The sequence below is a fragment of the Homo sapiens genome, chromosome 1 (genome assembly GCF_000001405.40).
Source record: "Homo sapiens chromosome 1, GRCh38.p14 Primary Assembly".
Taxonomy (NCBI): domain Eukaryota; kingdom Metazoa; phylum Chordata; class Mammalia; order Primates; family Hominidae; genus Homo; species Homo sapiens.
In genome coordinates, this window is record NC_000001.11 from 113847118 (window position 1) to 113867135 (window position 20018).

The 20018-nt window shown below is 40.3% G+C and overlaps 1 protein-coding gene and 1 long non-coding RNA gene across 15 annotated transcripts in view; one reads left to right on the forward strand and one right to left on the reverse strand.

Annotated features, from left to right (window-relative positions):
* AP4B1-AS1 (AP4B1 antisense RNA 1) overlaps positions 1-20018 on the forward strand; it is an 88626-nt gene that overhangs the window by 34506 nt on the left and 34102 nt on the right. The window contains exons 1-3 of one of the 2 annotated variants that reach the window (NR_037864.1): positions 9518-9607; positions 10419-10540; positions 10866-10899. The exons of the other annotated variant lie outside the window; for it this stretch is intronic. This is a non-coding gene — a long non-coding RNA (AP4B1 antisense RNA 1). Of the gene's footprint in view, positions 1-9517; positions 9608-10418; positions 10541-10865; positions 10900-20018 lie in introns of those variants that run through there. 2 annotated transcript variants of the gene reach the window in all.
* PTPN22 (protein tyrosine phosphatase non-receptor type 22) overlaps positions 1-20018 on the reverse strand; it is a 57949-nt gene that overhangs the window by 33307 nt on the left and 4624 nt on the right. For 5 of the 13 annotated variants that reach the window (XM_011541222.2, NM_001193431.3, NM_015967.8 and 2 more), the window contains exons 2-11: positions 12235-12343; positions 11885-11961; positions 11361-11456; positions 10621-10659; positions 9431-9502; positions 9265-9324; positions 7790-7932; positions 7354-7420; positions 4910-4987; positions 1423-1509 (exon numbers count right to left, since the gene is read on the reverse strand). In XM_011541222.2, the coding sequence (XP_011539524.1) occupies positions 1423-1509; positions 4910-4987; positions 7354-7420; positions 7790-7932; positions 9265-9324; positions 9431-9502; positions 10621-10659; positions 11361-11456; positions 11885-11961; positions 12235-12343 (828 nt within the window). Of the gene's footprint in view, positions 1-1422; positions 1510-4909; positions 4988-7353; positions 7421-7789; positions 7933-9264; positions 9325-9430; positions 9503-10620; positions 10660-11360; positions 11457-11884; positions 11962-12234; positions 12344-17080; positions 17161-20018 lie in introns of those variants that run through there. The other 8 variants (XM_047417631.1, XM_011541225.3, NM_001308297.2 and 5 more) reach the window with 5 other exon arrangements.

Genomic DNA, 20018 nt, shown 5'->3' on the forward strand with positions numbered 1-20018 from the left:
CTTTTTTCCGTACCCTCTATTCTGCTGTTGAACCCATCTATTTTGCTTCAGTTACTGTATTTTTAAGTTCTAAAATTTCCATTTGGTTCTCTTTATATCTTGTTTCTTTGCTGAGACTCTTTTTTTTTTTTTTTTGATGAGGCTTTGTATTTTTTAATTTGATTTAAGCATGTTTTTACCTTTTTTATTTTTTTATATTTTCATTCTTTTTATTGTTTTGTTGTTGTTGTTTTAACTATGTTTTTAATTGCTCATTGAAGCATTTTTATCTTGGCTGCTTTAAAATCCTTGTCAGATAATTCTGACATCTGTATCATCTCGGTGTTGTCACCTATTGTCCTTATTTAAATTCAGTTTGAGATCTTCCTGGTTCTTGGTATAATAAGTGATTTTCAACTGAAATCTGGGTATTTTCACATTGTTATGAGACTCTGAATCTTAGTTAAGCCTTCTCTTTTTGCTGGGGCTTTTTTTTTTTTTTAACAGAGTGTTGCTCTGTCACCTAGGCTGGAGTGCAGTGGTGCAATCTCAGATCACTGCAACCTCCGCCTCCTGGGTTCAAATGATTCTCATGCCTCAGCCTCCTGAGTAGCTGGGATTACAGGTGCGCATCACCATGCCCAGTTAATTTTTGTATTTTTAGTAGAGATGGGGTTTCACCATGTTGGCCAGGCTGGTCTTGAACTCCTGATCCCAGGTCAAGACCAGCCTGGTCAATATGGCAAAACCCCACCTTGGCCTCCCAAAGTGCTGGGATTACAGGAGTGAACCACTGCACCCGGCCATTTGGAAAAATTTTTTTGTAGAGACAATTGCTATGTTGCTGAGGCTGCTCTCAAACTCCTAGGCTTGAACAATCCTTCCACCTTGGCCTTCCAAAGTGCTGGGATTACAGGCATGAACCACCTTGCCCAGCCAAGAGATTATTTTTAAATTTTTATTTCTCTTTGAGACAGGGTCTCACTTTGTTGCCCAGGCTGGAGTGCTGTGGTGCCATTTCAGCTCACTGCGACCTCCACCTCCCAGGTTCAAGCAATCCTCCTGCCTCAGCCTCTGGAGTAGCTGGGACTACAGGTATGCCCCACCACTCCTGGCTAAATTTTTTTTTTTTTGGAGATGGGGTTCACCATGTTGGCCAGGCTGGTCTTGAACTCCTGACCTCAGGTGATCTGCCTGCCTCGAGCTCCCAAAATGCTGGGATTACAGGTGTGAGCCACCGGACTTAGTGAGATTAATTTTTTAAGTTAAATTACATCAAATTAATTTGTCATTTTCCACAGGAAATTTTCAGTGCAGCCCTATGCACACCTGACGCTCTCAATTTAGTTGTGACAATAGATAAATCCTGCAACAAATCTGACATCCCTTGACCAAAAGCAAGTATGAAAATTTTTTTGACATAATATCTAGTTTAAATTTTACCTCTGTTCCAGAATGTTTATCTCTGATAACATCCATCTGTCTCTTAAATAGTTCTAATACAGCATTGTAGACCAGTTCATATTGTTCCTGAAGAGCATCACAACCCAGAACAAATGAAAACAAAAACAAAAAAATTGGTGAACGACAGGACCAGATTTTAGGAATATGAACACCAATCAAATCCTAATATAGCAGACCCAAAAGGACGATCGGCATGTTATTAAACTTACTAACAATGCCTTATGCTTACGTAGTTCACTTCAGATTTCAAAGCACTTTTATGCTGCTGAAAATAGCTAAATATTTGATACACCTCTAACTAATGTACAGGAATCTTATGACTTGTTTCTTTTATGTTCTAAACCTAGTTTCTTATCTTTCTCTCCACCATCATTTCTCTAATTCTGTTTCCCTTGCTCACATTAAAAAAAAAAATATTTCATTCTAGATGGATTTTTTGTAAGCAACCTTCATCTTTTCTGGAAAAAGAGATAGTGGTTGGTATATAGATAGATAACTTCAATGTCTATGCTTTAATTTGGTCCTCACAATTGCTCTATAAAGTAGATAAGCTATTTATACCTATTTACAAACAGTTTATCCCAGGTCATTCAGAAGGAATTTCCAGGGCTTGGCTTAGAAACTTAATTTCCACACTCTTAGTTCAGTGCATTTAGATAAAGTTGCTAAAATTTTGTCCTAATAAAGATACCAAAAAAAAGTAAACCACTAAATAAGGTTTTGAAATTTGTGGTTACAAAAGGATTTCACCATAGAGAAATGAGACCTCTATTATTACAAGGTTTATGAGTTATTACTACTCTGTTTTTGCCTGTACTTTCTCAAGCACTTAATTTTGAACCTACTTTTTATCTGAAAGGGCCTAATCAGGGTTTTACCTGAAAGGGCCTATTCAGGGTTTTCCCTGACACTTTACACATTTCTGTACAAATAAAGAACAATTTTTTTTCAAAGATAATTTTAGCAGGAAACAATGCAGAGTCTATATCATTCAACACAGCCATTAGTATGCTCTTTATTTATTTATTTATTTATTTTTTTTTTTGAGACACGGTCTCACCGTGTTGCCCAGGCTGGAGTGCAGTGATGCAATCTCGGCTTACTGCAGCCTCGACCTCCCAGGCTCAAGTGATGCTCCCACCTCAGTCTCCCAAGTAAGTCGGGACTGCAGGCACCTGCCACTACACCCTGATAATTTTTGTATTTTTTGTAGAGACAGGGTCTCACTATGTTGCCCAGGCTGGTTTTGAACTCCTGAGCTCAAGTGATCCACCTGCCTCAGCCTCCCAAAGTGCGGAGATTATAGGGGTGAGCCACCACATCTGGCTAATTTCTTTAAGAAAGAAAAATCAGGGCTGGGCATGGTGGCTCACGCCTGTAATCCCAGCACTTTGGGAGGCCGAGGCAGGCAGATCACGAAATCAGGAGTTCAAGACCAGCCTGGCCAGCATGGTGAAACCCCATCTCCACTAAAAATACAAAAAAAATTAGCTGGGCATGGTGATGCGTGCCTGGAGTCCCACCTACTCGGGAGGCTGAGGCAGAAGACTTGCTTGAACCCGGCAGGCAGAAGTTGCAGTGAGCCAAGATCGCACCATTGCACTCCAGCCTGAGTGACAGTGTGAAACTCCATCTCAAAAGAAGGAAGGAAGGAAGGAAGGAAGGAAGGAAGGAAGGAAGGAAGGAAGGAAGGAAGGAAGGAAGGAAGGAAGGAAAGAAAGGAAGAAAAAGAAAAATCAGACAGGAAGCTCTCATCTGGTTACAGTGCCATTTCCTGGTTACAGTAGTGTCAGAAAAAACAGCTACAACTGTCAAGTTCAGTTAGTTGTTTGATAATGCCAAAATGTGAAGGCTTTTTCAGCGTCTTCCAACTCTTAAAAGTAGGCCTGAAATGAAATTCGTTTTTGAAATGGGGTATAGTTTTATTAAATTAGTATTGCTATTTATATAACTAGGTTCCATACTTCTGGAATCTTTATGCATTTACATGGATCAGCCTTCTTTCAAGTCTGACAGCATTAAACCAGCTAATGCTTTCATTTCACATAAGCTTTCTCCCTCACAGGTTGAATATAGAAAACACCTACACTCAGCACACATGAAAGTTATTTTTTTCCACCAGCTATTAGTGGAAAATCTGTGCAGGCCAAACAGTTTTATATTATAATAGCTCTTTATTTTATCCCTTTAATTCACAACTTCTAGACTAAATATCTGAATTGCCATTGTCAGTTGTTTTATCTCTAAAACTATTTGCATCTTCATTTGTAAGTGTTTTAAACACTTTAAGGTCTTGCTATTTAAGTAGTTAAAAGTAGTTCTAACAAATTACACAAAAGTGCCTGTTAATAAACATCAATACACGTTTCATGAATGAATGGGTCAATTCTAAATTCTATATTAAAAATGGAGACCACTTAGAAAACTAAAACTATTGGGTAAAACTATTCGTGTAGAAATATGGGTGAAATTAATATTGTAGGCAGTGAGAGATTTGGGCTAGGAGAAGGGAAGAGCATTCCTAATGGAGTGAACAAGTATGGGTATTCTGGGGTAGGTTAAAAGATTGTGATACATAAATAGAGTGTGATTGTAATTTTTTTTTTTTTTGAGACAGAGTCTCACTCTGTTACCCAGGCTGGAGTGCAGTCGTGTGATCTCGGCCCTCTGCAACCTCCACCTCGCAGGCTCAAGCAATTCTCCCGCCTCAGCCTCCCAAGTAGCTGGGATTAGCAGGTGCCTGCCACCATATCCAGCTAATTTTTTTATTTTTAGTAGAGACAGGGTTTCAGCATATTGGTCAGGCTGGTCTCAAACTCCTGACCTCAGGTGATCCACCCACCTTGGCCTCCCAAAGTGCTGGGATTACAGGTGTCAGCCACCGCGCCCGGCCCAATTATGTTTTTTCTTTTTTAAGTATGCATGCAATAAGAATCAGGAGAAACTATAGAAAAATAGTAATAGTGGCTATCTGTAGGTAATAGGAATATGGTTTTTATTTTTATTTTTCAGTGTTTCCTAAAACGAGCACATAGACTGAATTCTCCATATTCTGTTACCACATCCTGGGTAGAAATTACAAATCCCTGATTTTCTATGCTTTCAGAGATGAATTTTATCACTACAAAATTTCAAATTAACATGACCTAGCTATTTCAAGTCCACAAGTCAGTTTGTTGAATACTTTTACAACATCCTTTGTAAGGAAGTAAGTAATATTACATTGGTATCTTAATATTTTCTGAACAGACAGTAAAATAAGGAATGAAAGGAATTTGACCCAGGACAAGGGATACAGGAAAAATATTGGGATATTCAGAGTTAGAGAAAATGGCAATGGACTCTAGAGCACGTAATGGTAAATTGGTGTTATATCTGAGCAGTCAGCTGTTTTTGGATGCCTCACCATTAAACAGATGGAGCAAGACTCAGACACATGTTCTGATCCATTCACTATAGTTCATACCTGCGTTTGAACTAATGAAGGCCTCTGTGTCCGCATTTCCCGGATCAAACTGAAAACACTGAAGTTCTCAGGAATTATCTATCAAATTAAAGGGGAAAATATTCCTTTCAATATTTTGTTAATAAATTATTGCTACTTTTTCATAGTCTTGTACTTCCATGGCATCTGCTCTTCTAACATGGGGTAATATCAGAAAAATGATGCATTTTTAAAACAAATGAGGTTTCTTATCACTTGCAACATGATTTAGAGCCTGGTATTTTCCCTAGAAAAGACTAAAGAAACTCTTCAGAATGATTTCACACGGTATAACCAAATGTCTAAAACTATAGATATAACGAGGGACAGGATTCAGTAGATGCACAAGTATGAGAGTTGCATAAAATAAAAGAGGTTGGTAGGTAGGTCTAAAGGCCATATTTTAAACTTCCCATTTCCTATTAGACATTAAAAAATGATTTATAGATTGGAACGCAAAGTATGATTGCAGTAAGTTGAGTCCATCTATTAAAGCATCTTTGGATAAAGGAAGGGTAACTATATAATTTAGGACAGTGGTCCTCAAACTTCATCATGCATCACAATCACCTGGACAGCTTGCTGGGCCCCCATCTCTAGAGACATGATTCAATTCAATGGGGTGGGGCCCAGTAATTTGCCTTCACCTTAGGTTAGGTGCACCTAACCCCCTTGGGGTTCAACCCCTACACTATTGGAATCTCCAAAGATTGGAAAACAAACATTAAAGGACATATAAATTACAGACTTCCTGGGAGTCTGACAAAGTAGAAATAGAAATATTTGACCTATTTTCAGTATTTCACAAGAACTAACAGAAATCATATGTCTACTAAAACAGCTGCACAAGCTAAGTGAAATATCTAGTTTCCTTGGGTTTTGATTTTTGCTTTTTGTTTTGTTTTGTTTTTGAAACGGACTTTCACTCTTGCTGCCCAGGCTGGAGTGCAACAGCGCGATCTCGGCTCACTGCAGCCTCTGTCTCCCGGGTTCAAGCGATTCTCCTGCCTCAGCCTCCTGAGTAGCTGGGATAACAGGCATGTGCCACCAGGCCCGGCTAATTTTGTATTTTTAGTTGAGACAGGGTTTCTCCATGTTGGTCAGGCTGGTCTTGAACTCCCGACCTCAGGTGATCTGCCCACCTCAGCCTCCCAAAGTGCTGAGATTACAGGCATGAGCCACTGCAACCAGCCAAGTTTGCTTGGTTTTGATTAGAATTGTCAACTCAGAATGGCAACAGTAGAACAGTGATATCCAGTAAAATATAATGTGAGCCACATATGTGATTTTAAATTTTCTTTTTCTTTCTTTTTTTTTTTTTTTTTTGAGGACTTTCACTTTTGTTGCCCAAGCTGGAGTACAATGGCATGATCTTGGCTCACTGCAACCTCCACCTCCCAGGTTCAAGTGATTCTCCTGTCTCAGCCTCCCGAGTAGCTGGTATTACAGGCATGCGCCACCACACCTGGCTAATTTTGTATTTTTAGTAGAGACAGGGTTTCACCATGTTGGTCAGGCTGGTCTCGAACTCCCAACTTTAGGTGATCAGCCTGCCTCGGCCTCCCAAAGTGCTGGGATTACCGTGTGAGCCACCATGCCCGGCCAAAAATTTCTTTCTTTTCCTTTATGTATTTTATTTTTATTTTTATTTTTTTGAGACGGAGTCTCTCTCTGTCACCCAGGCTGGAGTACAGTGGCTCAATCTCAGCTCACTGCAACCTCCGCCTCCCGGGTTCAAGCAATTCTCCTGCCTCAGCCTCCTGAGTAGCTGGGATTACAGGCACATGCCACCATGCCTGGCTAATTTTTTTTTGCTTTTTTTTTTTTTTTTTTTTTTTTGAGACAGAGTCTCGCTCTGTCACCTAAGCTGGAGTGCAGTGGCGCGATCTTGGCTCACTGCAAGCTCCACCTCCTCAGTTCAAGCCATTCTCCCGCCTCAGCCTCCTGAGTAGTGGGGACTACAGGCGTCCACCACCATGCCCGGCTAATTTTTTTGTATTTTTAGTAGAGACAGGGTTTCACCATGTTAGCCAAGATGGTCTCGATCTCCTGACCTCGTGATCCACCTCCCTCGGCCTCCCAAAGTGCTGGGATTACAGGCGTGAGCCACTGTGCCCGGCCTAAATTTTCAAATAGACACATTCAAAACCGAAAAGAGGTGAAATTAATTTTAATAACATATCTTAGCCCAATATATATTGCATTTCTAACAAGTTCTCAGGTGATGCTGATGCTTCTTGTCTGGGGACCACCCTTTAAGACCCACCTACCTGGGAACTAATTTAATCGTCTGACAGAGTGGGTCTACAAGTACATTTTCTAGAAAAGATGAATCATGAAGATAGATGTTTTGAAAAACCAAACAATTACTAAGTATGAAAGCAGTAGACTAAGCAAATGGGAAGTGCCTGCTGAGAGAAACTCACCCCATCTTTTAGCAACATCCATGTATAATCAATAGCACAAATAACACCAGTCCTTCCACAGCCAGCACTGAAATGAAAGATCACAGTAGCATGTATGCATGTATACCTAGAGAGAATGGACCATTGACAGTAGCTGGAAAATTTCACCAGCAGATTTGAGGAAGAAGATACCTGGGGACAATTAAACTTTCCAAACCCCACCATTTCCCAGAGCCCATTTGTCATGCAAGAGGTCCTAGGCAACATCTCAGAGCAAGAGTCTCTAGAACTGTACTACTCACAAGTAACTTATCAGAAAAACATGAATTTAATGCTTAGGTTGAATTTATTATCGTTTGTTTTTGCTATTAACCTTTTCCCCTTTCAATTACACAGTCCTGGCCAGACTCTGACATTTGGTTCATTTTGGGTAGAAGGTTTATATATAGTGTCATACCTGCAGTGAATGCATATGGGAACACTGTCATCCTCTTGGTAACAACGTACATCCCAGATGAGCTCAAGAATAGGGTCTATAGATGAAGGTACATCATGGTCTGGCCAATTCTTGTAATGAAACTGGTAGATAGTTCGAGTTTCCTATAAAAAGTAGCCAGATGGGAGGGGAAGAGGGGCAAGGGCTGAAAAACCACCTATTGGGTATTATGCTCACTACCTGGGTGATGGGATTATTCAGTGGCATGCATGCAACAAACCTGCACATTTACGCCCTTGTGTCTTATATTCATAAGATTAAAGTTGAGGCTGGGTGTGGTGGCTTACGCCTGTAATCCTAGCACTTTGGGAGGCCGAAGCAGGCAGATTACTTGAGGTCAGGAGTTCAAGACCAACCTGGCCAACATGGGGAAACCCTGTCTCTACTAAAAATACAAAAGTTAGCCAGGCAAGGTGGTGAGCACCTGTAGTCCCAGCTACTGGGGAGGCCACGGCACAAGAGTTGCTTGGACCCAGGAGGCTCAGGTTGCAGTAAGCCAAGATTGCACCACTGCACACTCCACACTCCAGACTGGGTGACAGAGCGAGACTCTGTCTCAAAAAAAAAAAAAAAAAAAAAAAAGTTGAAATTATTTTAAAAATAGCCAGGATAATAAGACAACTTGTGGTTAGAACTCCACCTCATTATACCAAGACAACAGTCCGGCATACTAAGTTGTATCTATATCCTTTTTGAAATTTATTCCGGTTTCTTCTCTATAGATCTCAGGTGACCAGATGCTTTCTGAAAACCATTAAAAGTGATTTCAGGTCACTTACTATTGGTTTGTCCCCATCTGCCCCATTCACAAGAGGAAATAGCTAGATATGAAAATAGTTCAAACCAGTGTTTCCCAACTGGTATGCCTCCAATGTGTCACAATCATGCTGATATATTAAATCTTTTTGCCTTAGAGAAGCTGGGCAGGGCCTAGGGCAGCCTAAGCTCTCAAACTGGTCCCCAGTCTCTATGCACTGTTCAGCTTCTGTTCACCCTACAAATATTATCATTTTATATGTGTGCCATGGTATAGAATAGATTGAAGACATATTATAACAATGGTCTCTTCTTTTTTTCTTCTTCTTTGAGACACAGTCTTGCTCTGTCACCCAGGCTGCAGTACAGTGGCACCATCTCGGTTCACTGCAACCTCCACCTCCAGGGCTTAAATGATTTCTCCTGCCTAAGCCTCTTGACTAGCTGGAACCACAGGCATGCACCACCACGCCCAGCTAATTTTTTGTGTGTTTTTAGTAGAGACAGGTTTTTGCCATGTCGGCCAGGCTCAAAGTTCTCTTGAATATGAAGACTCATTCATGACATCAAAGACCCTACCACTTCCCATTGTCTTATGCCCAGCCTGAGCTACACACATCTATATTTACTTGCCTGATCTCTATAGGCTTTTGAGTTTATCATTCTTATTTTATACTTACACTATTGAACTTAACTTTTAGAGTCCTGATTATATAATCAGATTTCCTTTTTTCAGCTTCCTAAAAAGAAAAAGAAGACTCAAGTATTAGTGATTGCAAAGACAAGCTCTCTATAAGGTAGACCCTGGAGGCTTTACTCAGACATGAGAACAGACATTACACTTACACAGGATACAGAGAAAGGGCCAAATTCCAGCTGCATCTCTCCTGGCTCAGCCCAGTAGCGCTCACACTTTTTCTGTTGCACAAAGCAGAATACAGTGATTTCCCTCCATATATTCTAGTCTTTTCCACTCTCTCATTTGGAAGCAAATTCAGCTCTATGTCCTTCACCTTAGGTTAGGTGCGTCTAACCCCTTTGGGCTTCAACCCCTACATTATTGGAATCTCCAAAGATGGGAAAACAAACATTAAAGGATATATAAATTACAGACTTCCTGGGAGTCTGAAAAAGTAGAAATAGAAATCTTTGACCTATTTTTAGTATTTCACAAGAACTAACAGAAATCATATGTCTACTAAAACAGCTGCACAAGCTAAGTGAAATACCTAGTTCCCTTGCTTTTGATTAGAATTGTCAACTCAGAATGGCAACAGTAGAACAGTGATATCCAGTAAAAATATAATGTGAACCACAAATGTAATTTTAAATTTTCAAACAGACATATTAAAAAATGAAAAGAGGTGAAATTAATTTTAATAACATATCTTAGCCCAATATATCAAAACATTCTGACATGTAACCAATATAAAATAATTATCAGATATTTGGCATTTTTTACTAAGTCTTCAAAATCCAGTGTATATTTTATATTTATAGCTAATCTCAATTAGGATGCCAAATTTTGGAAATATTTTATTTCCATTTAGATTTAATAAAACTTACATTTGAAAAATTTTCACATACTCAAACAGCTTTCTGATAACTGAATTGCATGTCAGTTTTTAAGTTTAAATCAATTAAAATAATTGAGTTCCCCAGTCACATTAGCCATATTTTAAATGCTCAATAGCTGTATGTGGCTGGTGGATGCAATATTGGACGGCACAGGATTAAAAGCTCTGGCTGGCAGTTAAAGATATCTAATTAATAGAAATGGGCAAGTGATTTGTTAATCTTAAAAGCATACCTTGTTTTTAACTGTAAAACATAGGGTCTACTGAGAAAACAAACAAATAGGATTCTTAGGAGAAAAAAAAAATCCTCTGAGAATCACGTGGCATTCCCAAACTGAAAACTATGAAGATGACATAAGTTTTATCTAGGTACACTCAGGTAAGTTCTGCTGCCAATTTCCCTCTCCTTTTTCTTCTTTCCTTTGTTTTAAGGTCAGCAGGTACTAGAAAGTAACTTACCTTTCCCATTTCATACTCCATGCATGCCATAACAATGATCTGGGGGATGAAATAGATAGAAACTTAAACATTCATATATAGTTAGAAAGAGCAGTTAATACATGGATCCCAGACTCAGAAAGTATTAACCGTTCTTTTTTCTGTTTTGTCGTTTTTTTTTAACCAAAAAATAAATCCTGGTGACTTATAAAATATTGCTGCTACTCTTCCTTCATTCTGACAATACTTCCCCTTTCTCTGTTCAGACCAGTAATCTTGTTACCAAATGAGCCTGTCAAGGTAAGAACTTTCTCATTTTTAAATTTATTTTTATTATTTTTTAAAACTTATTTATTTTTGAGACAGGGTCTCATTCTGTCACCCAGGCTGGAGTGCTGTGGCACAATCTCAGCTTACTGCAGTCTCAACCTCATGGGCTCAAGCGATTCTCCCATATCAGCTTCCCCAGTAGCTGGGACTACAGGCACACACCACCACTCCCAGCTAATTTTTGTATTTTTTGTAGAGACAGGGTTTTGCAATGTTGCCCAGGCTGGTCTAGAACCCCTAGGCTCAAGCTATCCACCCCTCTTGGCCTCCCAGAGTACACCTGGCTGAGAACTTTCATTTCCTTGGACAAGAATGGCATTGTGATTCTGACTAAAAGATGCCTGAACCCTGAAGTTCCACTGACCAATTTTTTAAAAGCACTGTTTTTAATAAAGTAGAGAATAAAGTAACAAAAGCAACACCATACTTACAAGGACACTATATTCCCAAATCATCCTCCAGAAGTCCAGGAGGGTTGTAGATAAAGGACCCTGGGTGGCAATATAAGCCTTGGGTCCATAAACTCCCTAAAGGGGAACAGAAATTACACGGGGTGACTACAAATAATACCCTGTTCTCACCTAGTCCTCCGCTTCCTTTTTTTTTTTTTTTTGAGATGGTCTCACTGTGTTACCCAGGCTGGAGTGCAGTGGCATAATCACAGCTCACTGCAGCCTTGACCTCCTGGCTTCAGGCAATCCCCTTTCCTCAGCCTCTCCAGTAGCTGGGACTACAAGCGCATGCCACCACACCTGGCTAATTTTTTAACTTTTTGTTGAGATGGGGTCTCATATGTTGCCCAGGCTGGTCTGAAATTCTTGCGTTCAAGTGATCTTTCCGCCTCAGCCTCCCAAAGTGCTGGGATTACAGGCATGAGCCACTGAGTCCAGCCAGCCCTCCCCTTTTTTTGGGTATCTAGAGAAATATGGAATGCTTTTATTTTCTTTCACTGTACCTTAATGAAGTTGGCATTGATGTAGCTGGAATCCTCATCAGAGGTTATCAGGGATAGTTCTACCCGGCTATAATCATCTATAATACAAAAGACAGACATAGTACAATTAAGAGGGCTTAGTCAGCAGATTTAAATCAGGGCCTAACACTGTGAATAGTGTATGCTCATGAGTGAACAAGTGAGTGAATGAATGAATGAATGAATGAATATTCTTTTGCAGTCATAAATAGTACAAACTAAGTTGTCAATGCCATGTTCCAAGATCAGGATCAGTAAGCAATGGGTACAAAGAGATAGTAATGATTGAATTTGGGAGAAAGTATGAGTTTATAGAGAGAAATGGAACTTACAGGGCAAAATATCCTTATATCTGTTTTTCTTGATATTCTTGGGCTTCTCAGCCACAGTTGTAGGATAGGTTTTGTCTGCCTTGTACTTGGTAGATTGCCTTTTCAGCTTCTGTAATAAGATTCCAAGAAAAATTAATCTTCCTAGAGAAATGAGGTAAGAAGCTATCTCTAAAGAGCTTTCCTTTTCCACTGGCAAAACATTCTACCTCAACCCTTTTATTATCTTCTGGTTCTGACTCCGTTCAGGACAGAGCTGCAGAGCATAAGGAGACCTGAGTTCAGTGACATTTGGGGAAGTGAAAAGATCACACTTACTGCAGCTGAGCCATAGATAGCGTGAACTTAAAAGTGAAACTTGTGAATATTTTAAGAACCAAATATCTTCTGGAAGCAAGCTATATGCTCCACCCAATGGGCAGATATTAAAAGCTTAATTTACTTTCTTTATAACTGCTTTTTAGTTAAATGGTCAACTGGAAAATAATTAAGTTCTATTAGTCTTTTTACTTCAGATCGCTTTTTTTTCTAAGTGGAAGTGGAGCTTAAGCTGAATAAAATTTCTCTATATCTAGCAAAATTTCAAAGATTTCAGTTCCAAAAGCAGTCACTTTTTTTTTTTTTTTTTTTTGAGATAAAGTTTCACTCTGTCACCCAGGCTGGAGTGCAGTGGCTTGACCACAGCTCAATGCAGCCTCAACTTTCTGGGCTCAGGTGATTCTTCCACCTCAGCCTCACCTCCCACCTCAGCCTTACCTCCTGAAAGCTGGGACCACAGGCACAAGCATCACACCTGGATAGTTCTCATATTTTCAGTAGAGAAGGGATTTCACCATGTTGCCCAGGCTGGTCTCAAACTCCTGGGCTCAAGCAATGCACCTTCCTTGGCCTCACATAACTTTTATTACTGTAGATTATCATAATTGTTCTATTGTATTACTAGCTATTATTGCTAATCTCTTATTGTGCCTAATTTATAAATTGACCTTAATTATAGATATGTATGTATAGGTAAAAACAACATAGTGTACGTAAGATTTGGTACTATCTGCAGTTTCAGGCATCTACTATAGGTCTTCAAACACATCCTCCGTATATAAAGAGAGCCTACTGTAGTTTGAATTCCTCTGGATTTTCAGAACTGGATTTGAGAGGAGAGATACTGAACTGATATCTTTTTGTTTGTTTGTTTGTTTAACTTTGAACCCCAAGAAGCTACTGAACTATCTTTATAGCATATTTTTACTTCAAGATGGATATGGATACAAGTGGACTAATTTGGGAATTTAAGGACACATGAAAGACTAGGCTGAATTTCAGCTGAAGTTACACCAATTTTTCAAATCTCCCTGCTCTTAAGCAACTTCAGAATGATCATTTTCAGGTTGCTGTTGATCCCAGGGCTGCTGAAAAGATCTCAAGTCCCAGAACAGTTTCTTCTAGGAGTCTCCAGAACTAAGCTCAGTGCATACTCCTTGTTATACTGTTTTTATTTATTTTTGTTTTATTTTGCTTGTGGAACGCTTTCTAGGGAGAATGCTATACACAAAGCCCTTTGCGTAAGATATCCTTCAATTAATTTGGCAAAATGTTACAGATAAAGGTGATGGGTGTGTGTGTGTATGTGTGTCCTATATTTGTTTAGCTGCCTTCACTGCTACCTTCAACAATAAGGCAGAATGGCTTTCATTTTTCCTACTCCTTTCCTCCCCCTCGAGTAATCTAGCTGGATGACAAAAGCAGACACTCTTAGCAAAACATCACACAGGAAATGCCTACAGAATTATTCATTTGTAATGTATGAAAGATTTGATTTTTTTCCCTCAAACATCTTATCTTAAGGTCATACCACTGTGAAGTCTTCCTTTTTCTTTCTGTTTTTTTGTTTGTTTGTTTTTGTTTTTGTTTTTGAGACAAAGTCTTGCTCTATCGCCCAGGCTGGAGTGCAGTGGCATGATCTCGGTTCACTGCAACCTCTGCCACCCAGGTTCAAGCAATTCTCATGCCTCAGCTTCCAAAGTAGCTGGGGTTACAGGCGCCCGCCACCATGCCTGGCCAATTTTTTGTATTTTTGGTAGAGACGGGGTTTCACCATGTTGGCCAGGATGGTCTGGAACTCCTGACCTCGTGATCTGCCCGCCTTGGCCTCCCGAAGTGGTGGGATTACAGTCGTGAGCCACCGCGCCCGGCCAATTTTTTTTTGTATTTTTAGTAGAGACAGGGTTTCGCCATGTTGGCCAGGCTGGTCTTGAACTCCTGACCTCAAGTGATCCCCCCACCTCGGCCTCCCAAAGTGCTGGGATTATAGGCATGAGCCACCGCGCCCGGCAGGCTTCATTTTTCTCTTCCACCTCTCTTCCTGCCAGACTCCCGGGCTCCAATATCCCAAGAAAGAACAAATTAGGGCAAAATTAGGGCAGAAAAAGTAATAAACTACACCAGAAAAGGAGGAACCCTGAAAGTAGAAAGCAAAAGGGTATAAAAGAGGAAGCAGGGTCATGGGGATGGGTTTAAGTTTGTGAAGAAAAGATATGAGATCTAAAGGGTGAAGGTATTTCTTTGCCAACTACAAGGTAGGGGTGTGAGTTCCCTAGAGGAAGTACCATCAAGAGAAGTCAGGGGAATAGTTGCCAAGAGGATAAAGTGAAGAGACTGGGTGCGGTGGCTCACACCTGTAATCCCAGCACTTTGGGATGCCGAGGCAGGCAGATCACTAGGTCAGGAGTTCGAGACCAGCCTGGCCAGCATAGTGAAACCCCGTCTCTACCAAAAATACAAAAAAAATTAGCTGGGCATGGTGGCAGACCCCTGTAATCCCAGCTATTCAGGAGGCTAAGGCAAGGAGAATCGCTTGAACCTGGAAGGCAGAGATTGCAGTAAGCTGAGATCACACCACTGCACTCCAGCCTGGGTGACAGTGTGAGACTCCGCCTCAAAAAAAATAAAAATAAAAATAAAAAAGAGAATAAAGTGAAGAGAGAGCTCAACATCCCTCGTGGGCCCTGAAATAGGGTGGAATGTGTGAGAAACCAGATTCTGTGTGTGCTTGATAAGCTAATAGTAAGTTCATTTGGTTTGTAGATGATACTACCCCTTTCGTTTCAAGAAAGGAGAGGAGAATGGGGATCCTGGCCAGTATAACAAGGAGTATTAGATTCTAGAAATTCGGATTGAGTCATTTGCATGTTATTCTCACAGACTAGTAAATAAAATAAAGTCACTCCCAAAAAAGAACAGAAAGTAAAAGAAAGCACAAGACCACGATATCTTTGCCTTGAAGGACTACATTACTGGATAGAAGACGTAGCATTTTAGATACATTTTAGGGAGAGGAAAATTAAACTTGGCCCTCCTGTGCTAGGTGGGAGAACACAAAGTTTGGCTGTCTCGAGAACTCTGCAAGGTAGTTCCTCAGTGCCTTGCAAATATAGGTCAGTATTATACCAAGCCTCCATCAGGACAGAAGAAGTACAAGTGGTAAGGAATGGCATTAGGAGCTCAGGCTTCTAAATCCAGTAATCAGGAGAACTACCAGTAGGAATGGAGGACAAGACTGAATTGTACGAGCGTGCAATGCAATCATCTTCAACAAGACTGACAAACTTATCGAGGTTAGTTTCCAGTGCAATAGTGGGGCAAATGGGTAGGTGGGTAGGCAATAGCTAAATTGGGGTGAGTAAACCAAGAGGTTCAACTTTAGATACATAAAATGTGAGAAAATGGCAAGAAATGTGTGTGTTGTTGGTTGGTTGGTTGGTTTTTGAGACAGAATCTTGCCTTGTCACCCAGCAGAGAGTTCAGTGGCGCAATCTTGGCTCACTGCAACCTCTGCCTCCCAGGTTCAAGTGATCCTCCCACCTCAGCCTCCTGAGTAGCTGGGATTACAGGCACCTGCCACCATGCCCAGCTAACTTTTGTATTTTTATTAGAGACAGGGTTTTACCACGTTGGCCAGGCTGGTCTTGAACTCTTGACCTCAAGTGATCCGCCTGCCTCAGCCTCCCAAAGTGTGGGGATTACAGGCGTGAGCCGCTGCGCTCAGCCAAGAAATGTGTTTTAAGTGTCCTGTGAGTAAATGAAAATGTAGGACTAGATGGTCCCTAGTGAGAGGCTGGAGATGGTGTTAGAGAAATCAGCTTCAGAGGTGATGTGATACATTTATTCTGGTGGTGGCATTTTTAAAAATTGCACCTTAATGTGCACAAAGGTCAAGAAATGCTGATAAATATGTTCAAGTGATAGGCTGATTCACAGGAATGAGTAGTGTCAATTCATAGATGTTTGTGCACTTGCTCTGTAGGAAGTACCTTGTTGATAACTGTTTGGTTAGTATCATTACTATAATATACACAGAACCAGGATGTATCTATGTCTCCTTTATAGAACCAAGATGTAGCCAGATCTTTGATATGTCTCTGGTCTTCTAATGAATCTCCAGAAGTTGCAATAGTACCAGTCTGATTTCTAGTATAGTTTAAACTGTTAGCACCTAAACCTGGCCTTCAGAACTAGGTATCTTCTTTCTGTTAGGATTCAATGAATCCTTTATATTTAATAAATATATATATATATATATATATTTTTTTTTGACATGGGATCTCACTCTGTCATCCAGGCTAGAGTGCAGTGGCGCGATCTCGGCTCACTGCAACTTTGCCTGCAATCCCAGCTACTCGGGAGGCTGAGATAGGAGAGTCACTTGCGGTGAGCCAAGATCGCACCATTGCACTCTGGTCTGGGCAAAAAGAGCAAAACTCCATCTCAAAACAGACAAACAAACAAACAAACAAAAAACTGAAATTGTGGTAAGTGCTATGAAAAATAACAAATGGTGCTAATAAGAACTTACAATAGAAGATTTGATCTATTCAAAGAGGTCCAGAAAGCTTTCTCTGGCCAGGTGTGGTGGCTCATGGTTGTAATCTCAGCACTTTGGGAGGCTGAGGCTGGAGGATCACTTGAGTCCAGGAAGTCAAGTCTGCAGTGAGCTATGATCAAGCCACGGCACTCCAGCCTGGGTGACAGAGCAAGACCCTGTCTCCAGAAAAAAAAAAAAAGAAAGAAAAGAAGAAAAGAAAAGAAAGCTTTCTTTGAAGAATTGACCACCAAATTGAGATCTAAAGAATTATTAGTCGGGCATGGTGGCTCACACCTGTAATCTCAACACTTTGGGAGGCTGAGATGGGAACCCTAGAGGTTGAGGCTGCAGTAAGCCATGATCACACTACTGCACTCCAGCCTAGATGACCAAGTGAGGCCCTGTCTCAAAAAAAAAAAAAAAAAAAGGCCAGGCATGGTGGCTCACGCCTATAATCACTTTGGGAGGCCAAGGTGGGCAGATCACGAGGTCGGGAGATCGAGAGACCATCCTGGCTAACACAGTGAAACCTTGTCTCTACTAAAAACACAAAAAATTAGCCGGGCATGGTGACACACACCTGTAGTCCCAGCTATTCAGGAGGCTGAGGCAGGAGAATAACTTGAACCCAGGAGGCAGAGGTTGCAGTGAGCAGAGATCGTGCCACTGCACTCCAGCCTGGGTGACAGAGCGAGACTCCGTCTCAAAAAAAAAAAAAAAAAATTACCAAATGTTATCTAGGTAAAGAGGAGTGTGAGGAATGTTCAAGGCGGAGGTAACAACATGTGTGCAAGGCCCTATGGCAGAGGAAGCATGGCAAGGACAAGAAAATGAGCATGCTATAAGAAGCTGGAGAGACACCATGTAGGACATTGATAGCCATTTTAAAAGGTTCTTTGGGAGGTAAATGAAGTTCTATTTGTGAAGCACTTTTAGCACAGAGTCTGGAACACAGTTCTATGGATTAGCTGTTGTTACTGTGGAAAGTAGATGAACAGAAAACGTATATAAGGAAATGCAGATTTAAAATAATCATGGAACATTTTAAGGCTCAGAAATCCAATGAATGAAATTAACATAATAAAGTACTATTTTATGCTAGTTATATCAGAAAAAAAGTCATGATTTTTACCTGATACAGTTTAAGTACAGAGGTTAAGAGGCTTTGAAAAAAAACAGACTGGTTTCAAATCCGGGCTTTTCCATTTCATGGGTAAAAATGAACATAATATTTTCCTCTTGGGGTAGTTGTAACGATTAAACGAGATCACGTACGGCAAAGCACTTAGCAGATTGCCTAGTACATAGTAAGTAGGCAAAATGTTTTCATCTTTTATTCTCTTTTATATTTATTAAGTCTAGCAAGGTGGTAGAGAAGATGATAAATTCATATATTGCAAATTAGAAAAACTCCTTTGGAAATACATTTGGTAATACTTAACCAATTAGATGCTAATAGTCTTTGACCCAGTAATAACATTTTTGGGGATCTAGCCTAAGGATTAATCCAAAAGAAGGGAAAAACCACATGGAAAAATATATTCATATTAGTGTTATCAATAATCATGAAAAACTAGAAATAACTGTTTAACAATGGAGAAATAAATTATTTGGGTATTACTATGTCTCAGGAAGTTTATATACTTATTATCTTCACAGCAGTTCTTCAAAGTGAATATTATTCCCACATTTTACTGACTTAATCCAAGGTCACATAGCTAATCATGGGCATAACTTAAATTCAAACCAAGATTTATATGACTCCAAAGTTTTTATGACTTCAGATGACAAAGCAAGACTACCTGAAATTGAAATTCAGTTCCACCACTTACTAGCTATGTGACCCTGAGCAAGTTAATTGACCTCTCTGTTTGTTTCCTCACCTATAAAATGGAAATGAAAACAGTACCTTCCTCAATGGAGCAAATGAGTTTATATATGAGTGTTTAGAACAGTGTCTGTAAGAGGTATAGAAGCATTCTCTATTATGATTATTATTCTTTCATTATAAAACCAGATGGACAGGCTGGGCGCGGTGGCTCACACCTGTAATCCCAGTACTTTGGGAGGCCAAGGCAGGCAGATCATGAGGTCAAGGGATCGAGACCATCCTGGCCAACATGATGAAACCCCATCTCTACTAAAAATACAAAAATTAGCTGGGTGTGGTGGCACACTCCTGTAGTCCCAGCTACTGGGGAGGCTGAGCCAGGAGAATAGCTTGAACCCGGGAGGTGGTGGTTGCAGTGAGCCGAGATCATGCCACTGCATTCCAGCCTGGTGACAGAGTGAGACTCCATCTCAAAACAACAACAACAACAACAACAACAACAAAACCCACATAGACAAATATATGTCCATGTGATGATGCTGCATCATCAACTATTAAAAATCATATACATTTTAATCAGCCTGATAATTTTGGTATAATGGTAAGTGAAAATATGAGAACACAAAATTGTATCTATGCTATAATTACAATAATATTAAAAATTTACATAAATGGACAAGAACTAGAAGATCCACAAAAAAAGCTATTGTTGGTTTTCATGTGTGTGTATGACAGGGTCCCACTCTGTCTCCCTGGCTGGTGTGCAGTGGTGCAATCTCAGCTCACTACACCCTCCACCCCCTGGGGTCAAGTGATCCTCCCACTTCAGCCTCCCAGGTAGCTGGGATTACAGGCATGTGCCACCACTTCTGGCTAATTTTTTATTTTTAGTGGAGACGGGGTTTCATCATGTTGCCCAGGCTTGTCTTGAACTCCTGGACTCAAGCCATCTGCTCGTCTCAGCCTCTCAAAGTGCTGGGATTACAGGCGCGAGCCACCTCACCTGGCCAAGATCCACAAAAAAAGTTTTGATTTGTTAGAATGTTGGTATTATGGTGAGTTTACTTTCTTTTAACTTTCAATAATATTGTTTTATAA